Source organism: Homo sapiens, chromosome 7, assembly GCF_000001405.40.
Source record: "Homo sapiens chromosome 7, GRCh38.p14 Primary Assembly".
NCBI classification, from domain to species: Eukaryota; Metazoa; Chordata; class Mammalia; order Primates; family Hominidae; genus Homo; species Homo sapiens.
The window spans coordinates 75,912,249-75,932,718 of record NC_000007.14 but is presented as its reverse complement, the minus strand read 5'-3'; the positions used below and the strand labels follow the sequence as shown (position 1 = coordinate 75,932,718).

General features: G+C 48.7%; 1 protein-coding gene, 1 long non-coding RNA gene, 1 other non-coding gene and 1 pseudogene across 9 annotated transcripts in view, besides 3 other annotated features; all 4 read right to left on the bottom strand.

Moving 5' to 3' along the window:
• Nucleotides 1–17,564, bottom strand: part of POR (cytochrome p450 oxidoreductase) — a 71,701-nt gene extending 54,137 nt beyond the window's left edge. For 3 of the 7 annotated variants that reach the window (NM_001382658.3, NM_001382655.3, NM_001395413.1), the window contains exon 1: nucleotides 17,540–17,564. The gene's annotated coding sequence lies outside the window, so the exon portion shown is untranslated. Of the gene's footprint in view, nucleotides 1–10,518; nucleotides 10,618–16,951 lie in introns of all 7 variants that reach the window. The other 4 variants (NM_001367562.3, NM_001382657.2, NM_001382662.3 and 1 more) reach the window with 4 other exon arrangements.
• Nucleotides 4,123–4,182: an enhancer, noted in NCBI's record as "active region_26184". NCBI's record gives its function as "activates an Ori minimal core promoter by ATAC-STARR-seq in GM12878 lymphoblastoid cells {active_cell/tissue: GM12878}" and the evidence as "EXISTENCE:reporter gene assay evidence [ECO:0000049][PMID:35858748]".
• RPL7L1P3 (RPL7L1 pseudogene 3) lies at nucleotides 9,075–10,006 on the bottom strand (annotated as a pseudogene).
• Nucleotides 17,357–17,846: a silencer, noted in NCBI's record as "silent region_18302". NCBI's record gives its function as "represses an Ori minimal core promoter by ATAC-STARR-seq in GM12878 lymphoblastoid cells {active_cell/tissue: GM12878}" and the evidence as "EXISTENCE:reporter gene assay evidence [ECO:0000049][PMID:35858748]".
• Nucleotides 17,450–17,522, bottom strand: MIR4651 (microRNA 4651). The gene has a single exon (NR_039795.1). It is a non-coding gene; the product is annotated as a microRNA 4651 (primary transcript).
• Nucleotides 18,107–18,156: an enhancer, noted in NCBI's record as "active region_26183". NCBI's record gives its function as "activates an Ori minimal core promoter by ATAC-STARR-seq in GM12878 lymphoblastoid cells {active_cell/tissue: GM12878}" and the evidence as "EXISTENCE:reporter gene assay evidence [ECO:0000049][PMID:35858748]".
• LOC124901680 (uncharacterized) lies at nucleotides 18,225–20,178 on the bottom strand. The gene is made up of 2 exons (XR_007060393.1): nucleotides 19,980–20,178; nucleotides 18,225–18,423 (listed from the first exon to the last, which is right to left on the bottom strand). It is a non-coding gene; the product is annotated as an uncharacterized LOC124901680 (long non-coding RNA).

Sequence of the window (20,470 nt, the reverse complement as noted above, 5' to 3'; positions counted from 1 at the left end):
TCTTATACTACATATAATTTTGTTCTACTTTTCATATATTAAATTGTGAACATTTTCTTGTTATAAATTCTCAAATGTCATTATATTTTCACTATTACAATGTCAAGTTACAGTGCATTTTCTAGTACAGAAAAAAAAATTAAAACTGTTTTTAAAAAAGTCATGAAAAACAGGATTGATATATTTTCAACATAAGTCTTTGTAAGCCACTGATAAGTTCCTTAAAATAGAAATTCTGGCCAGGCGCAGTGGTACATGCCTGTAGTCCCAGCACTTTGGGAGGCCGAGGCAGGCAGATTGCTTAAGCTCAGGAGTTCAAGACTAGCCTGGGCAACACAACAAATCCCTGTTTCTATAAAACAATACAACAATTAGCTGGGCGTGTTGGTGCACACCTGCAGTTCTAGCTACTCGGGGGGCTGAGGCATGAGAATCACTTGAACCTGGGAGGCGGAGGTTGCAGTGAGCCAAGACTGCACCACTGCACTCCAGCCTGGGCAGACAGAGACAGAATTTGTCTCAAAAAAAAAAAAAAAGAATTTCTGAATTTGTCTTAGAAATATTTCTGAATCAAAGGGAACAAATATTTTCAAGGTCCCTGACTTACTGTCAAATTATTTTTCAAAAAGCAATTTATTTTCAAAATTTCTCTGCAGCTCTTCCTCTTCAAGGCACGCTGCTAAGCTGAAGAGACGGGAGCAATTCCACAAAGCACTGTGTGCACAGAGGCCTAGCAGCAGGTGGAAGGATGAAAGCTGAAACACAGGAATTAATAAGCACTTAAGGGAGGCCATGACACCTGTGCCCCAGCAGGGAGGGCAAACTGAATCGAGTAGTGGCCTCAGCTTTTCTGGTGGAAGACACATCTTTATTTCCTTGCCAAAATAAACAGAACAGATGGTGGGAGCCGGTTCATGTGTGGGTGAGTCTGGTAGTGGTTAAGGAGGGCTTCCTGATGGAAAGGACTCAAAAGGGAAGGAGACAGAGTGGGGAAGAGCACACACCAAGGCCAGAAGGGAAAATAGAGTCACGGCTTTAAAAGGAAAAACAGGCCAGGTGCGGAGGCTCACACCTGTAATCCCAGCACTTTGGGAGACCAAGGCGGGAGGATCACTTGAGGACAGGAGTTCGAGACCAACCTGTCCAACGTGGTGAAACCCCGTCTCTACTAAAAATACAAAAAAATTAGTCGGGTGTGATGACAGGCGCCTGTAATCCCAGCTACTCGGGAGGCTAAGGCAGGAGAATCGCTTGAACCTGGGAGGTGGAGGTTGCAGTGAGCCAAGACTGCACCACTGCATTATAGCCTGCGTGAGAGAGGGAGACTGTGTCTCAAATAAATAAATAAATAAATAAATAAATAAATAAATAAATAAATAAAATCACACAATAAGTGGCCCTTTGTAACTGGTTTCTTTCACTTAGAATAATGTCTTCAAGGTCCATCCACGTTGTGGCATGCATAAAAGCCCTTCATTCCTCTTCATGCCTGAGTAACATTTCATCGTATGGATATACCACATTTTGTTTATCCATTCAATGGGTGATGGATACTTGGATTGTTTCCTTTTGGGGGCTGTTATAAATATTGTTGCTGGACAGGCACAGTGGCTCATGCCTGTAATCCCAGCACATTGAGAGGCTGAGGCGGGAGGATGGATTGAGGCCAGGAGTTTGAGACCAGCCTGGGTAACATAGTGAAACGCCATCTCTACAGAAAATTAAAAAATTAGTGAGGTGTGGTGGTGCACACCTGTAGTCCCCGCTACTCAGGAGGCTGAGGTTAGAGGATCACTTGAGCCCAGGAATTGGGGGTTACAGTGAGATATGATCCCAACACTGCACTCCAGCCTGGGTGACAGAGCAAGACCCTGTCTTTAAAAAATAAATACATAAGGGCCGGGCAAGGTGGCTCATGCCTGTAATCCCAGCACTCTGGGAGGTCGAGGTGGGCGGATCACCTGAGGTCAGGAGTTGGAGACCAGCCTAACCAACATGGAGAAACCCTGTCTTTACTAAAAATACAAAATTAGACGGGCGTGGTGGCACATGCTTGTAATTCCAGCTACTTGGGAGGCTGAGGCAGGAGAATCACTTGAACCCGGGAGGTGGAGGCTGCAGTGAGCCAAGATCGTGCCACTGCACTCCAGCCTGGGCGACACAGCGAGACTCCATCAGTATAAACGTTTTCTATTTCCTTGTTTACATTTATTTATTTATTTTATTTTATTTATTTTTAGACAGGGTCTTGCTCTGTTGTCCAGGCTGGAGTGCAGTGGTGCAATCATAGGTCACCACAACCTCTACCTCCCAGGATCAAGTGATCCTCCCACCTCAGCCTCCCGAGGAGCTGGGACTACAGGTGCACACCACTACGCCTGGCTAGTTTCTGAATGTCTCTAAAACAAGGGTTAGTACCCCTTGGTTCTTAAGAAAAAGCACTCAGAATTGCAGAAGAGAGAAAGGCCTGCCTAGTCTACACAGCACTGTGTTTACTACAGGCTCACTAAGGAGGAGCCAAGCAATGCAACCAACGTTCACTCAACACCTACTACGTGCCAAGCACCCTGGCTAGGCACCTTCTACAATTTCTTTTGATTCATATGATAAACCTGTTTAGAGAAATATTATTTCACCCATTTTACAGACTCAGATTCAAAGCCCTAAGGACCAAGCAAGTTACTGAAATTCCCACAACTTACAGAGGGAGATTTAAAGACCTTGTGGGACCCTCTCTGTCACTTCTTGTTGCAACCCTAGACAAGGAAGGGGTGACCCAACTCCTGGCCCATAATGGTCTTGATGGTTCTCATGCTGGCTACTGTCACCCCACATTCAGCTAGTAGTGGGCTGTGCCATTCAGCAAAAACAGAGTTTCTACTAGTGCATAGAGGACCACGGAGTCACAGGGGGTGCTCTGGGCGACAGCTTCACCCACAGAACAGGTATTGGTCAGTGGCTTCCTTCGGTCCAACAGGTGGTTTCAAATCAGCTCTTCCACAAGCTGACAGGGAACAATGGTACTAATGAGACAGACAAGCCAGATGGCCCCTGGGCTGAGGCCTCAGAGGGCACCGTATTGGTCATTCCTTCCCCAGCGTTGCTTGCGTTTCACCTTGATGTTCGGTCATTGCTATGCATTCAAGGCAATCACATGTGTATTGAGGCCGGGCGCGGTGGCTCACACCTGTTATCCCAGCACTTTGGGAGGCCAAAGTGGGAAGATCACCTGAGGTCAGGAGTTCAAGACCAGCCTGGCCAACATGGTGAAACTAAAAATACAAAAAGTAGCTGGGCATGGTGGTGCATGCTCTGTAATCCCAGCTACTCAGGAGGCTGAGGCAGGAAAATCACTTGAACCCAGGAGGCGGAGGTTGCGCTGAGCTGAGATCGCACCACTGCACTCCAGCCTGGGCGATAGAGCCAGACTCGGTCTCAAAAAAACAAAAAAAGTGTACTGAGCACCAACTCTAGGTCATCTCTGTGACCTGTGCTTGGATATTCACAGCATGTGTTTAAATTCTAGAATGTGGGCAGTAGGGTTACTAAAAACCCACAACATGAACAAGTCAGTAATAATTAGATCCCATCGCTATGGTGACTAAGGACGGTCATGCGGTGTCTATAAAAGCATCATAATTATTATACCATTTACAAGATTGCCCATACAGAGCTTTCTATTGCCCCATGTTGTCTTACAAGGAAGACAAAATCCTTTGGTGCTGGCCTGACATTGTACTATGCCTGCTGCTCGAGACAGGTACACTAGGTTACCCAAGATGCTCCTTTAGACTGAGGGCTTAATGCTCCATTTCTCAGACACCACCAAGAGAGCTGCGTACTTGCCGGCAGCTAGCTGTGGAGATGTGCTTGAGTTGGGAGAGCCACAGCTCTGCTGCACCCACTGGGGCTTCCTGTTAGAAAAGAGACCCACCACATCACACAGTACACCTGCATGAGAGGCTAGAGGGAAAGTCCTCCAGGCCACAGCACTAGAAAAAAGTCCTCCTGGGCAGTGACCCACATCACATGGCTTCAAGCTGAACTCTAAGCAACGTCTAGTGTGGGCAGGGTGACTCCGCTAGGCCCTTGGCCTCCATAAGGTGACTCAGTGGTTCAAGCAGCTTTTTCTCTTGTCATTCCACCATCTCAATGTTCAACTTCCGGGCCGTCCTGATGGGAAGAAGATTGCTGGAGGGCCTGGCCCTGGCTCTTAAATGCTTCCATCCAGAAGTGACATACGTGACTTCCTCTCACAGGCCATTACCCGAAGTTAACTTCAAGAGGGCTTAGAAATGTGTGGGAGCCCAGAAACACGCAGTGAACATACGTCTGCTGCAGGTGTCCACGACTAGCTCAAGATGACAGGGAACTGGAGGCACAACTGGTGGGAGTCTAGTTGCTCAAGAACTCATGACCTATAAACCTGATTTTTAAAAACTGAGATAGAAGCCGGGTGTGGTGGCTCACACCTGTAATCCCAGTACTTTGAGAGGCCGAGGCGGGTGGATCACAAGGTCAGGAGTTCGAGACCAGCCTGGCCAACATAGTGAAACCCTATCTCTACTAAAAATACAAAAATTAGCTGGTATGGCAGTGTGTGCCTGTAATCCCAGCTACTTGGGAGGCTGAGGCAGGAGAATCACTTGAACCCAGGAGGTGGAGGTTGTGGTAAGTGAAGATTGTTCCACTGTACTCCAGCCTGGGCAACACAGCAAGACTCCGTCTCAAAAAAAAAAAAAAAAAAAAAGAAACCTGAGATAGAGACTGGGAGCAGTGGCTCATGCCTCAGGCCGAGGAGGGCAAGATCACTTGAGGTCAGGAGTTCGAGACCAGTCTAGCCAACATGGTGAAACCCCGTCTCTACTAAAAATACAAAAATTAGCTGGGTGTGGTGGTGGGCACCTGTAATCCCAGCTACTCAGGAGGCTGAGGCAAGAGAATCACTGGAACCCGGGAGGCAGAGGTTGCAGTGGGCTGAGATTGGGCCACTGCACTCCAGCCTGGACCACAGAGCGAGAGTCAGTCTCAAAAAAAAAAAAAAAAAATTGAGACAGAATTCACACACCATAAAATTCATCATTTTAAAGTATAAAATTCAGTGGTTTTCACTATATTCACCCATTGTGCAAGCATCACCACTACCAGATTCCAGAGCATCTTCATACCCTCAAAAGGAAATCCCACACTCATCAGCAGTCACTCCCCACTCCTGACCTGGTTTTTGTTTTTTGGGGTTTTTTTTGTTGTTGTTTTTTTTTTGAGACAGGGTCTCACTCTGTCAGCCAGGCTGCTGTACAGTGGCGTGATGACAGCCCAGCCTCCTGCGTTGCTGGGACTACAGGCACCCACCACCAAGCCCCATTAATTTTTTGTTAAGATACGGGGTTTCGCCATGTTGCCCAGGTTGGTCTCAAACTCCTGGGCTCAAGCCATTAGCCCACCTCAATCTCCCAAAGTGCTGGGATTACAGGTGTGAGCCACCAAGCCCGGCCCTGATTTGTTTTTAACTAATGAACAGTGTTTTAACACTGCTCTGACATACAGGAGCTGTAATTATCACAAAGGTTAAAGGACCTTGTCCAACATCAGGGAATCGATAAATGGTGGAACCAGGATTCAAACCCAGACCAACTGTCTCCAGAGCTATTCTATCAACCATCTGTCTGCCCTTCAAGACCTTTTTAGGACATGGCAAAGTTACAGGTAGACGCAGCCTCACTGAATGACCTGGGGTTCATTTTGCAGCTGACATCCTGGCCACATCATCAGATGACAGCATTACCCAAGATGAAATAATCCCTGCAGAAGGACACAGGATTGGTCTCGTGTCTGGGTGGAGCTATCCTGCACCTCTGTAACCCTGGTGCTCATCAGACTTTGCATAACATGAGTGCTCAATATTTGTTTTTGTTTTTTTGAGACAGAGTTTCGCTCTTGTTGCCCAGGCTGGATGGAATGCAATGGCGCAACCTCAGCTCACTGCAACCTCTGCCCCCCGGGTTCAAGCGATTCTCCTGCCTCAGCCTCCCAAGTAGCTGGGATTACAGGCATGCACCACCACGCCCGGCTAATTTTGTATTTTTAGTAGAGACAGGTTTCTCCATGTTGGTCAGGCCGGTCTCGAACTCGCGACCTCAGGTGATCTGCCCGCCTCGGCCTCCCAAAGTGCTGGGATTACAGGTGTGAGCCACCACACCTGGCCAGCACTCAATATTTGTTTGCTGAATGACTAAATGAACAGAATCTCCCAGACCAGAGTCAATGCTTCTCCCTCAATGGCACAGCACACTGGCCCTTCAGCCAGGAGTATCGGAACAGAGCCGTGCTGCTTTCTAAGACCTCGTGGCTCTGCCTGCAATCACCTACTAAAGGGCAAGAAACCAAGCCAAGCTTTTCAAATATCACAGGAAAAATAGCAGGGGTCCAGGTACAGTGGCTCATGCCTGTAATTCCAGCACTTTGGGAGGTCAACAGGAGGATCGTTTGAGCCCAGGAGTTTGAGATCGGCCTGGGCAACATAGCAAGACCCCATCTCTGCAAAAAGAAAGAAAAACTCGCCAAGCATGGTGGTGTGTGCCTGTAGTCCCAGCTACTTGGAAGGGCTTAAGGAGTTTGAGACTGCAGTGAGCAATGATCCTGGGTGACAGAGCAAGTGTCCTGCCTTAAAAAAAAAAAAAAAAAAAAAGAGAGAGAAAAGAGAAAGAAAAAAAAGCAGGACACTGTACGTGGGAGGTACTAAGAGCTTCAGAACCTTCACTTTGGACTGGCTGCCTCTCACTCTGGCACAAGATCGCTCCTCACTCTGCCAGATTCTCAAGCTTCACTCCTGCCTGCTAAAATAATCGCTCTGATTCCATTCTCTTGCTCACACCTCCCAAAGAACTGCCCTTACAGAATTTACAACCGAGCCTGAACCTCTCAGCCTCTTACCTAGATGGGACCCAGAAAGGGTCACCTGTGGGAACACTCCTGTTCTTGAAAACAGTGCCTCCACCCTGGCCTAGGCCAACATCATCTTTCATCTTGTTGGTCTTTTCCACACACAAAAGTAGTCCCAGCACCTCGAAGAGAGCTTGGCACATACGTGGTGCTCTACAAATACTTGCTGAGTACATGGGCTGCTGACCACTGCTTTATTCAATGATCCTCGTGTAAAGGCCCAGGGAAAAGCACTTTTTAAAAAAAATTTAAGAGATGGGGTCTTGCTCCATCACCCAGGCTGCAGTGTCGTGGTGCAATCATAGCTTACTACAGCCTTGAACTCTCAGGCTCAAGCGATCGTCCTGCTTCAGCCTCTTGAGTAGCTGGGACTACAGGTGCACACCACCATGCCTGGCTAATATTTTAAATGTGTATTTTCTTGTTGAAGGGACAGGGTCTCTCTCTCTCTCTCTTGCCCAGGCTGGTCTCAAACTCCTGGCCACAAGTGATCCTCCTGCCTCAGCCTCCCAGAGTGCTGGGACTACAGACATGAGCCATCGCGCCCAGCTGAAAAATACTAATGAGAAACTGGTCAGCTTCCTTTTTCCAATAACTGCTATGTAACCCCATCCTTCTTTGCCTTGGCATCTAGGAAGCTCTGGGCAGAGCTGTGTGCTCAACCACAAGAGCTTCCCTGGACTGCTTTTTGACACCATCACCTCCCAGAGTCCTTTTCTCAATTACTAGGCTCTCAGCTTTCAGTTCCCCCTCTGGTTTTTGGTTTGGTTGGGGAAAGCATGGAAAGTGAAATTCAACAAACTCACAACCCAGTTGAGCTATAAAAGACCAACAGACCTTGGTTCAAAACCTAGATATGCCACCTATGCACTCTGGGATCCTGGGCACACGATTTATCACAGTCCGTCTCCGGGATGACCATGCTCACAGTGCTACGTTGGTTACATGAGACATAAACACCCAGCGCAGACACTCAACGGTTACACTCAACTCCTTTTATTTTCATTAGAATTTTCTATTATTTATTTATTTGGGGAATTTTCTATTTTTCATTTATTACTGTATATTTTGAGATGGGGGTCTCACTCTATCACCCAGGTTGGTGTGCAGTGGTCTGATCATGGCTCACTGCAGCCTCAACCTCCCTGGGCTCAGGTGATCCTCCCACCTCAGCCTCCCAAGTAGTTGGGATGACAGGTACACACCACCACACCCAGCTAATTTTTAAACACTGATGTTTAAAAACACTAATTTTTAAATAGAGATGGTGTTTTGCCATGTGGCCCAGGATGGTCTTGAATTCCTGGGCTCTAGTGATCCGTCCACCTCGGCCTCCCACAGTGCTAAGATTATAAGCATGAGCCACTGTGCCAGGCCCTAGGATTTTTAAAATAAACAAATTTATTCATGTCTTCAGCATCCAGGTAACTGATCTAGAAAGATTTAGAGTCAGAATATTCTTCTTCAATTATAAAATGATTACTGAATAAATTATCAACTACAGAAGGAACTTGAGACACAATTTTTCTTTTCTTTTTTTTTGCAGAGACAAGTGAGCATTTATTTTTGTGCCTTTCTTCCTATGTATATTTCAAGCCTTTTTCAAGGCCCCAGGAATCTCCGGATTCAATTATGTCCCCGGGCTTGGTCGACTGCTGCAGGACTCTTAGGGAGCCTTGTACAAATGCTAGAGTTACTCATTCACCAACATTAAACCCTAGGATAGAAGATGCAACAAAGCAAGACTCCTTTCTCCACAAAATGTGATTTCAGACAAGGCAGCAGCCAACGTAGAAAACGCTGGAATTTTTCCTTGGAACTGGACTGTGATGAGAGGTGCCGCCATGAACGTAAGCTACTGTCTTTTCTTTTCTTTTTTTTTTTTTTTGAGATGGAGTTTCGCTCTTGTTGCCCAGGCTGGAGGACAAAGGTCTGATCTTGGCTCACCACAACCTCCGCCTCCCGGGTTCAAGCGATTCTCCTGCCTCAGCCTCCCCAGTAGCTGGGATTACAGGCGTGTGCCACCACGCTCAGCTAATTTTTGTATTTTTAGTAGAGACGGGGTTTCTCCATGTTGGTCAGGCTGGTTTCGAACTCCCGACCTCAGGTGATCTGCCCGCCTCAGCCTCCCAAAGTGCTAGGATTATAGGCGTGAGCCACCGGGCCCGGCCAGCCACTGTCTTTCCTTTGACCCTTCCTTTACAGTTTTTGAAGATAAAGCAGGAAATAATCTTCTCTGAAGATACTTGATAAAAATTCCACCCCGCCCCCAAAAATAACACAAGCTTCCAGTTCATTGATAAAAATTTACTGTAGTTTGGCACCTGGCTCTAGTTCAGCTGGCGGATGAGCTGATTGATGCACACACCCCCAAGAAGATGGAGGTGTGCCAATCTCCTTCAGAAAGTCCACTATTTTTGGTAGCATGACAGTCCACTGAGAGGTGGAAAGGGGACAAGAACCATGAGATCTCCTGGAAATGCTTCCTTGGGAAGGCAATTTCATGAATGAGGTCTTCCAAGCAAAAGACACCAAGCTTTCCCAGGTGCTCCTCAATCACTGTGTTGTCAGAGGGATGGTCTTATTCTTGACCTTGGCTTGTCTACGTTTCAAAATGAGTTTCTGGACAGACTTCAGATTTGGAAATCCCCAGGTCACATAAGGTTACATACTATACGCTGCATTTTTAGGTTTAAGTCTTGCAATGGCTCTCCGCACCAGTAAACTCACACCATCAATCCTTTCGACGCGTACAACAAAGGCCAAGGAATGTTTATCTGGCGATTCCAAGGTGTGAGGTTTTACTTCTAGTCGTCTGAGACACACCTTGTCATGTTTCTGCCGCCAGGAATCATGTAGGAATGATTCCAGTCGTTTAAACCTGAGCTCTTTTCCTTCCCTCTGCTCCTCCTTTGCCAAAAGTGCCTACTTTGACTGGGTGGCTTTGAGGCCTTGATAAGCCTTCTGCTTTCAGGAGATTTTCTGGAGCCAAAGGGATTTTTCTTTGCTCCTGCTTTGCCATCTTTCTAGTGTTGCAGCTACTGAACATGCGCAACCCCACCACTGACACAAAATTTTATACCTGGATGGAAAACTAAAGTCCTACCAAAAGTTCCTACTGTACTTTGGAATAATCTTCAGAAGTACAGACCAGGCCAGGCGCAGTGGCTCACGCCTGTAATCCCAGCACTTCGGAAGGCCGAGGCGGGCAGACTGCTTCAGGTCAGGCATTCGAGACCAGCTGGGCAACATGGTGAAACCCCATCTGTACTAAAATTACAAAAAATTAGCCAGGCATGATGGCACACACCTATAATTCCAGCTACTCAGGAGGTTGAGGCACGAGAATTGCTTGAACCCAGGAGGCAGAGGTTGCAGTGAGCCAAGATTGCGCCACTGCACTCCAGCCTGGGCGACAGAGTGACAGGCTCTGTCTCAAAAAAAAAAAAAAAAAAAACTACAGATCAGACCCAATTTTGACATCTGAGCTCAGTCAATATGCAGGAGAAAGCTCAGCAGTAAACTTGGGGGACAGAAGCCATATTTATTCATTCATCCATTCATCCAAGTGCCTACCTTATGCCTGGCATTGTTCTATGCCCCAGCTTACACTCGCAGAAATGATAGGTTCCCTGTTCTCAACTGAATTCACCTTCTAGTCCAACCGTATTGCCACTAGGGAGGGGAGAATTAGACACCTTTTATTAAGTCACTGTTTATCCTTTATGAAAGCAGATGAAGAAGAAAACATGCAATAAGACAGTGACAGTGACCGGGCACAGTGGCTCCTGCCTATTATCCCAGCACTTTGGGAGGCTGAGCTGGGTGGACCACTTAAGGCCAGGAGTTCGAGACTGGCCTGGCCAACATGGTGAAACCCTGTCTCTACTAGAAATACAAAAATTAGCTAGGTGTGGAGGCACGTGCCTGTAGTGCCAGCTACTCGGGAGGCTGAGGCAGGAGAATCACTTGAACCTGACAGGTGGAGGTTGCAGTGAGCCAAATCGTGCCACTGCACTCCAGTCTGGGCGAAGAGAAAGGAGGGGTGACCGAAGCAGGGTTCCAAGATCAACCAGCAATGGTACCATGGACAGATCTTGGAACGTGGTAGGGAGGGGAAGAGAGGGAGAATTATGGGTCAATTACGGGTCAGCGCAGCAGGAAGTGACAAGGGGCTACAGTAAGACCACAGCAGTGGAAAGAGATTTAAAGGGCCGGGCGTGGTGGCTCACGCCTGCTGTAATCCCAGCACTTTGGGAGGCCGAGGCAGGCAGATCGCCTGAGGTCAGGAGTTCGAGACCAGCCTGGCCAACACAGTGAAACCCTGTCTCTACTAAAAATACAAAAATTAGCTGGGCGCGGTGCCGCGCACCTATAATCCCAGCTACTCGGGAAGCTGAGGCAGGAGAATCACTTGAACCTGGGAGGCAGAGGTTGCAGTGAGCTGAGATTGTGTCACTGCACTCTGAACAACAGAGCAAGAATCTGTCTCAAAAAAAAAAAAAAAAAAAGACTAAAAACTTACAGGACTTGGTGGTGGTGGGAGACCCAGAATGGAGAGGAAGGGAAAAGGGACAGGAGTCTTTTGTCCTTGGAGCTTCAGGGCCCAGGAAGTCGGTGAGGCCACTGACAGATAGAGCTCTTGTTGTGGAGGTTTCGGGTAGATGGGCTGGGAGCTTTTGATCACTGCTGTGACGCTGAATGACTCCTGAGTTTGCAAATCACGTTACGTAAGGAACGCGTCCAACGTGTCCATGTTAAGACTGTGTGGTTTCATGAGCAGTCAAAGGGTCTGAAGCCCTTCACCAAAACCAACAGTGGCTTTTCTCCACAAGACCACAAATACCTGACGGAACATTCCTGATGCCAAACTGCACTCTGAATGATGCCGGGCACCACTGGCTAATGCACTCTCCTGTGTATTCAAGAACTGCCATCCCTGTTTGCAGTGTTGAAAACTCAACCCAGGTGACCTATGGTCACTACATATGAGTTCAGAAAGTTCAGAAAGGTGACCGTAGTTCACGTGTTCCTAACCAAACCTGCAAACCTTTGTACAGGCCCGGCTTACCCAATGCACTGATGATGCATGCCCACGAAGATCAAAGTATCACTAGGACACAGTGCTCTAAGAACACCGGCATCACCACCGCAGAGGTGATGTGACGTGAGCTCAGAAACAGGGCTGTAGGAAAAAGTGCCGAAGATAAAAGGAGGGCAGATAAATAGAATGAGTAAGCACTGTTCTTAACTTTCACCTAGAAATAAATTACATCTGTTCCAAGTTAGAGGACACGCCCCACAATGCCCCATCTTCCTCCTCATTACTACATCCAAGTAGACAAAAGGCAACTTTCCCCCTTCTATTCTCCTACCAAATGTCTCCTAAAGAATTCAATTCTTATAAGCTGGACATGGTGGCTCACGCCTGGTAATCCTAGCACTTTGGGAGGCTGAGGCGGGTGGATCACTTGAGGTCAGGAGTTTGAAACCAGCCTGGCCAACACAGTGAAACCTCATCTCTACTAAAAATACAAAAAAAAATTAGCCGGGCGTGATGGCACGCGCCTGTAATCCCAGCTACTTGGGAGGCTGAGGCAGAAGAATTGCTTGAACCTGGAAGGCAGAGGTTGCAGTGAGCCAAGATCACACCACTGCACTCCAGCCTAGGCGAGAGAGTCAGACTCTGTCTCAAAAAAAAAAAAAAAAAAAAAAAAAAAGAAATTCAACTCTTGGAGAACAGTCCACAGCTGACAGCACCACAGTCTGGCCACCAACATATTCTAAGTTAGCCTTGAAACTGACGCATTTCGGGAAATTATGTGTACAATTCTCTCAGCTAGGTACAGATGCTGCACAAAGGAGATCCGAATGCCACACCCTCCAGCACTCCAATGAAAGGACAATTCTTAGATATCCCCCTATCCAAGTCACCTCTTTAACAAGTGAAATAAATAAGCTTCCCACATCAACAGTTTGCTGCACAAGCCACCAGAAGGATCAGGTTCCCCGGGGCTTTGTTCACAACACGTCCAAGCATCAACTGAGTTGCCACACCGACCAGCGTCAGGAGTAACAGTTACTGGGCTGGGCGCGGTGGCTCATGCCTGTAATCCCAGCGTTTTGGGAGGCTGAGATAGGAGGCTCACTTGAGGCCAGGAGTTTGAAACTAGCCTGGGCAACATAGCCAGACCCCACTTCTACAAATAATAAATAAATAAATAAACATACAGAGAGAGAAAAGGAAAGAAAGAAACAAACTGATGAACGTGGCTCCAGTGAACCCAACCAACTGGAGCCACCAATCTGCAAAGAACCATGGTCTGCCCCCATGGAATTCCTCCATCTTCTCTCCCTCTTATATGCATACACACACACACACACACACACACACGCACGCACAGATGCAGACAGGCGTGTGCACACTAATCCCAACAAGAACACAACTGATGTAAACATCTCGCTTGGGGAGGAAAAACTTTTAAGATGTAGAGCTCTAAAACAGTATGATTACAAATTTAGACACAGTAAAAATTTCCCAAATGGTTGTTCATTCACCCAGAGAGGATATTAGGCAGTAAGAGAATATTCAGTACAAGAAAACACTGTCCTGAGCCAGACATGGTGGCCGGTGCCTGTAATCCTAGCTACTCGGGAGGCTGAGGCACAAGAATTGCTTGAACCCAGGAGACAGAGGTTGCAGTGAGCCAAGATCACACCACTGCACTCCAGCCTGGGTGACAGAGTGAGACTCTGTCTAAAAAAAAAAAAAACACACAACACTGATCTGAGCTAGTCACATAGCCCTGACCTTTTAAAACACCTCCCCATCTCTTCCCATGGTTCCTAGGACCATTTCAGACAAGTGCCACCACGCGACCTCAGCCTCATGCAATCTACACCCTACATGCCCCCCAGAGCTGGTGTGCCTGGGTGGGCTCAGAGAACTCCTAGCAATCCTCCAAGACCCAACTCAAACATCACCTCTCCCCTGGAGCCCTGCTGTGGAAACAAACAGCAGGCTCAGCACTAATAAAAGCCTCACCCCATCATCTTGAGAATGAATGCAACACACCGTGCCATTCTTGTTGAATTGTATGCTTGCTTCCCTCCCTGTGAGAGTTCTCAAGTGCCCAAACCAGAGCCTACACATATCCTAAGGCCGGATGTGTGCTTTTTTATGTGTCACGCTACAGGGATCCAAACAGCGCCAAGAAGATGAAGAAGGACCCACTGCTGAAAGGGTTAACATGTTCTGAGCTGTCCCAGAGGCAGGTGGAGTGGGTTCTTTCTCTGACTTTAGTGATGAAGAAACTAAGGCTTGGTATAGGTCAGCGGCCTATGCAAGCAGGTAAGTGACCTCTGACTCAGATGCTTCTCCCACCTGCCCGGCGGGTCCAAATTTCTGCCCAATGCCAGATGACAAAACTGCACAGCAAAACAAGTTGTTGTTTTTTGGGTTTTTTTTTCTGAGACAGAGTCTCACTCTGTCACCCAGGCTGGAGTGCAGCAGCACGATCTCGGCTCACTGCAACCTCCGCTTCCCAGGTTCAAGTGATTCTTCTGCCTCAGCCTCCTGAGTAGTTGGGATTACAGGTGCACACCACCACACCGGCTAATTTTTGTATTTTTAGTAGAGACGGGGTTTCACCACGTTGGCCAGGCTGGTCTCGAACTCCTGACCTCAAGTGATCTGCCTGCCTCGGCCTCCCAAAGTGCTGGGATTACAGGCGTGAGCCACCATGCCCAGTCAATTTTTGTATTTGTATTTTTTTTATAGAGACAGGGATTCGCCGTGTTGCCCAGGCTGGTCTCAAACTCCTGGACTCAAGCAATTCACCCACCTTGGTCTCCCAAAGTGCCGGAATTACAGGCGTGAGCCACTGTTCCCAGCCTAGAATTGGCATTTGAAAGTCTTTTAAGGCTGTAGCCACCTGGGAGGCTGTGTGCTAATGAGCACAGAATCTTTGGCCAGGTGGTGGGTACTCGAAATTCCAGCTACTCAGGAGGCTGAGGCAGAATTCAAGCAAGGAAAATTGCTTGAACCTGGGGGAGGTGGAGGCTGCACTGAGCCCACTGCGCTCCAGCCTGGGCGACAGAGCGAGACTCCATCTCAAAAAAAGAAAAGAAAAGAAAAGAAAATTGTCATTTCTCCATTTCACCTTTTTCTAACTTTAATTTTTAAGTGAGTCTGACATATAACAGAAAGTTAAATCCCAACATGCTCAATTGAGGCCACACACGGTGCTAGTGCCAGAGCTTGACCTCTGTTTCTCTGGCTCCTCCCTAAAGCACAAGGACATCGAAGCTCTTGTAGGGGCGGCCAGCCTCTCTGGAACCATGAAAGGTCCTATAACTTCAAGAGCTTCCATCAGAAAAAAAAAAAAAAAAAAGAAGAAGAAATAAGAAAGCCAGGAACGGTGGCTCACACCTGTAATCTCAGCACTTTAGGAGGTCAAAGCAGGAGGACCACTTGAACCCCAGAATTCGAGACCAGCCTGGGCAACATGGCAAACCAAATCTCTAAAAAACATTTAAAAAATTAGCTGGGTGTGGTGGTGCGTGCCTGTACTCCCAACTACTTGGGAGGCTGAGGAGGGAGGATTGCTTGAATCCTGGAGGTTGAGGCTGCAGTGAGCTATGATTGCGCCACTGCACTCCAGCCTGCACGACAGAGTGAGACCTGTCTCACAAAAAAAAAAAAGTTACTTAAAAGCTAAATTATTTTTAACTTGAAATGTTCCATGGACTTCACGAGTAAATGTTCTGGATTTGCCAAGCAGTTTTGATTTCAATTGGCCTGTCTCCTAATCATACACAGACTTACCTAACACAGATTCTGATTTTCAAGGGGTTAAGGGTGGATCAACCCAGAGTTAACCAACAGCAGGTCCTAAAATTCAGGTATGTCTGGCAGCAAACATCCTCTGTGGCATTTATAAACTCCTACTACCCAGGACGATCCACACCTGATTTACATTGGCTGCGGTCAATGCTGCTGTTTTCAGGAATATCCCTGGGTTGTTTCATTTCAAATCTACCTATTATTTCTTCAAGTGCTAGACCTGAAGAATTTTGGAAAATTAAGATCACTCCTAAGTTTCCACACCACCACGCAACTGGCAGCTAGCATCCCATTCTCTGAAATGCGGATGTTGTACAAATACTTTTTATAATAAGCTATCTGCTCAGCGAAAGTTTCCAACATTAGATGGCATGAAGGTCATAAGTAGCTCAAAAACCACTCTCTTAAAAGGAAAATAAGAACTCCTAAAACAGCCCTCCTCCCAAAAAAAAGGAAGTGGACCTTTCTGGGTTCCCTGGTTTACTAACTGGGCCTTTGGAGCTGTTCTCCTGACCAAGCCAACCCCATAACCACTCAAAAGGGATTTCCGTAGGTAGAACTTGCAAATGGTTAATGAATCAATGCCTTCTCCATAAAGCAAGACCCAAGGAATTACAGCAGTGAACAACGGTGGGGATACTGGATCCCCCAGAGGGTTCCATAAACGTTCTGCTTACAAGGAGGATTAAAGTTCTCGATGCCACTCTCTGGGACCCTGTCTTGATCCTCAGAATCTCAACCCTGTGGGGAGAGCAGGGTGGCTGTCTTACTACCAGACCCACTGATCAGAAAACGGAGGCTCCAGGAGGTATCTTGCTTGCCAAGAATCAAACCAGGGCCACCCAGTCCAGTCCTGTCTCCTTTTGTGCTGGCATCATTCTCCAGCTTGGCCAAGCTCAGAGGCAAGGCAAGGCAAGGCTGCAGCTTTAAGGGTTTAAGAGAGGAGACAGCCACTTTCATTGAAACAGCCCCAAACTCCTTATTAGTGGTCACCAGTTTACACAAGGGTAACTCGTTTTGAAAAACAATACGCAGAAAGTCGAAGTCAATCAAGCTCACTGAAACCTCTACTCTCCTCCCCCTGGCGCCCAAGAGACCTTGAACTCTTACCCAATTGCTCCCCCGATCTAAGGGTGTCCCGGCTCCCCCAGGAGATCCGGGTACCTGTGTTGTGGGGGCCGCCGAGACACCTGACTGCGAGGGGCACTGCCCTCAGGGATGCAGGCCGGGCTGGGGGGCTCCCGTGATCCATCGACTCAGCCCACCTGATGCTGCAGGGTTAGATTCGGGTCCCATGAGCATGCATCGAGCGCCTCTCACGTTAGGTACCCCCAGAATTCGCTGCCTCCCGAGGCCCATTCATCGTACAGATGGGGAAACTGAGGCTCGGAGAGTTAAAGTGGCTTAGCCCGTGGGGGGCGGCGGCGCGGGGACTGGACCCCGAGCCCTGAGATACCGAGCCCTAACCCTCAGCCGAGGGCCTGCCGGGCTCTCTCGGCCCAAGCTGTGGAAAAGTCGACCCTCAGGCCGCCGCGGGAGATCAGCTCTAGGGGAAGGGCGACGCGGAGGAGGGCCGGGGTGGGAGCCATGCCTTCCGCCCGAGCGTCGGGCCAGACGCGCAGTGCCCAGGCCCGAGGGCCCACCCCGACGCAGAGAGCCAGGCGGCCGCGGTGAACTGAGGCGCCCGGCAAACCCCGAGTCTTGGGGCCCGACCTCACCCACCCCGCCGTCGCCGCGAAAGATAGCACTCACCGCTGGCAGCCCGGCTGCTCTCTGCGGGCACCTGGGCAGGGCTCAGGCCCACACCACTGAGGCGCTACCACCGCCTTCGCCGGCCGCGGGGGTGGGGGCGTGGCCATTGGGCCGCCGCCCCGCCCACTCGAGCCGCGCGTGCATTCCCGGAGCCCCGCGCTTCCCCCTGCAAATTTGCGCTCTTGGTACGGCCCGGCCCGGCCACGCCCCCTCGCGGCTCGGCTGGGTCGCCCGGCAGAGAAATGAAAGTGCGTGGTTCCGGGGGTGGCGGAGTCGCCTGGAGACGGCGGCTGCGGCTTCTACAGCTCGGACCCTGCAGGTCACCGGGCCGGCTGCCCACCTTCCCGGGGATCACTGCAGAACTGTGGCTGTGCGCCCGCCGGTCTAGCCTCCTCCTTCGGGCCGCCGCTTGCTTGTGATCGCCACATTGTCTCCTCCACGGCCCTGTTTCCTCACCTGAAATTGGCGAGGCTTCAGGCCCAAGTCGTCTCCCTGGGTTCCCTCCATCCAGCCTGACGGCGGAGGGCGCGCGTTTGTTTTTAGAGACAGGGTCTCGTTCTGTCGCCCAGGCTGGATTGCAGTGGTGCAGTCACAGCTCACTGCAGCCTTCAACTCCTGTGCTCAGGCGATTCTCCCACTTCAGCCTCCCAGTAGCTGGGACTACAGGCGCGCCACCACACCTAGCTAATTTTATTTTATTTTATTTGCAGAGATGCGGTCTCGCTATGATGCCCAGGTTGGTCTCGAACTGGTCTCAAGTGATCCTCCCTCCTCGGCCTCTCAAAGCGCTGCGATTACAGGCGTGAGGTCCCACACGCTGCCTAGAGCTCGCTTTTGAAGGCCGGCCTGTTGGGGGTGGGAAGTGACCAAGCAGGAGGCAAGCCCTGGATGGAAGAGGAGTGGGGGGATACAGAGAGCTTCTGGGGTTTGAAAAGTCTGGCAGCCTTGGTTGGGGAGTGAAGCCCACCTCTGCCTCCTGCTATGGTTTCTACTTTACAGGGTCATGAAGATTAAGTGGTATAACCTTTGTTCCTAAAGGATTTAGAGCACGGCATTACTAAGTGTTCTCATCGCCATTGTTATTATTACTACTACTACTATTATTACTAGCTGTGCTGTGAATTCCTTTTGCAACACTGTGCAACTCACTTCTCTCAGAGCCCCTTCTCCATCTTTTAAAAATAGCCCAGGCACGGTGGCTCACGCCTGTAATCCCAGAACTTTGGTAGGCTGAGGTGGGCGGATCACCTGAGGTCAGGAGTTCGAGACCAGCCTGACCAACATGGCAAAACCCCGTCTCTACTAAAAATACAAAAATTAGCTGGGCATGGTGGCGGGTGCCTGTAATCCCACCTACTGGGGAGACTGAGGCAGGAGACCCACTTGAACCCCGGAGGCAGAGGTTGCAGTGAGCCCAGTTCACACCACTGCACTCCAGTGTGGCCGACAGAGTGACACTCCGTCTCACAAAAAAAAAAAAGTTAATTTATAAAATAATACATAAATATAACATTTATATATTATATAAATGTTATATTTGTTATATTTATATATTATATAAATAATATATATTATATAATAACATATATGTTACTTATTTTTTGAAACAGGGTCTCCCTTTGTCGCTGAGGCTGGGATGCAGCCTCGACCTCCTGGGCTCAGGTGATCCTCCTGCCTCAGCCTCCCTAGTAGCTGGAATTACAGGCATGCGCCACCACAACTGGCTAATTTTTGTATTTTTATTTTTCATTTTAAAGAAAGTTGATTGAAATTTTTTTGTAGAGATGGTGTTTTGCCATGTTTCCCAGGCTGGTCTCAAACTCCAGACCTCAAGCAGTCCTCCCACCTTGGCCTCCCAAAGTGCTGAGATTACAGGTGTGAGCACTGCACCTAGCCTAATTTTTAAATTTTTTGTAGAGACAGAGTCTCGCTATGTTGCCCAACCTGGTCTTGAACTCCTGGCCTCAAGGGATCCCTTGCCTCGGCCTCCCAAAGTGCAGGAATTACAGATGTGAGCCACCATTCCCATCCACTCTTCATCTTTAAAATATTGTGAAAATAGCAAAATCCTATATAAAGAGATTATTACCATGGCCCAGGTGCCAGGTTTCCTATGTCCAGGAACCAGTCCCTCCAACAGGTTGGATGAATGCAGTAGCCCTCAGGGTGGGGCACAATACCTGTCCAAAGAAGGGACTGAACTCCACACTCACCCAGAGAGAGAGCTGTGGAGAAATTCACCCAGATATCTGATACTCTGTGCCATCTTTTCAACACCCTGTTGGACATCTCCCCAGGATGTCCCAGTGAGGCTTCAAATTTGGACTTTGACTCCATGCCCCCTGCTTTTTTTGAAACCAGAACTCCTAAAACACTGAGTCTTCTCTGTCTGCTAATAATATAGCATCACTAAGGAAACATCAGGAAACAGGCATTTTACCTCTTTGGCCTTTTCCCATTGAACCAATAACTGGGTCCTATGGATTCTATCTCCAGAACCTCCTCTTGTCATCTTTTCTGCTGTCCCTGTTCCAGTTGGGGCCACGTGGGTTCACCGTTCACCTGGATGATCTCAGCAGCTTCCTGACTTTTTTGGGGGGGATGGAGTCTCACTGTGTCACCCAGGCTGCAGTGCAGGGGCACCATCTCAGCTCACTGCAACCTCTGCCTCCTGAGTTCAAGCGATTCTCCTGCCTCAGCTGCCTGAGTAGCTGGGATTACAGACTTGTGCCACCACACCCGGCTAATTTTTGTATTTCTAGTAGAGATGGGGTTTCACCATATTGGCCAGGCTGCTCTCGAACTCCTGACCTCAGGTGATCCATCTGCCTTGGCCTCCCAAAGTGCTGGGATTACAGGTGTGAGCCACCGCACCTAGCCGGCTTCCTGACTGTTTATGTCACTTCTCGTTTCTGCTACACCCACTGGCAA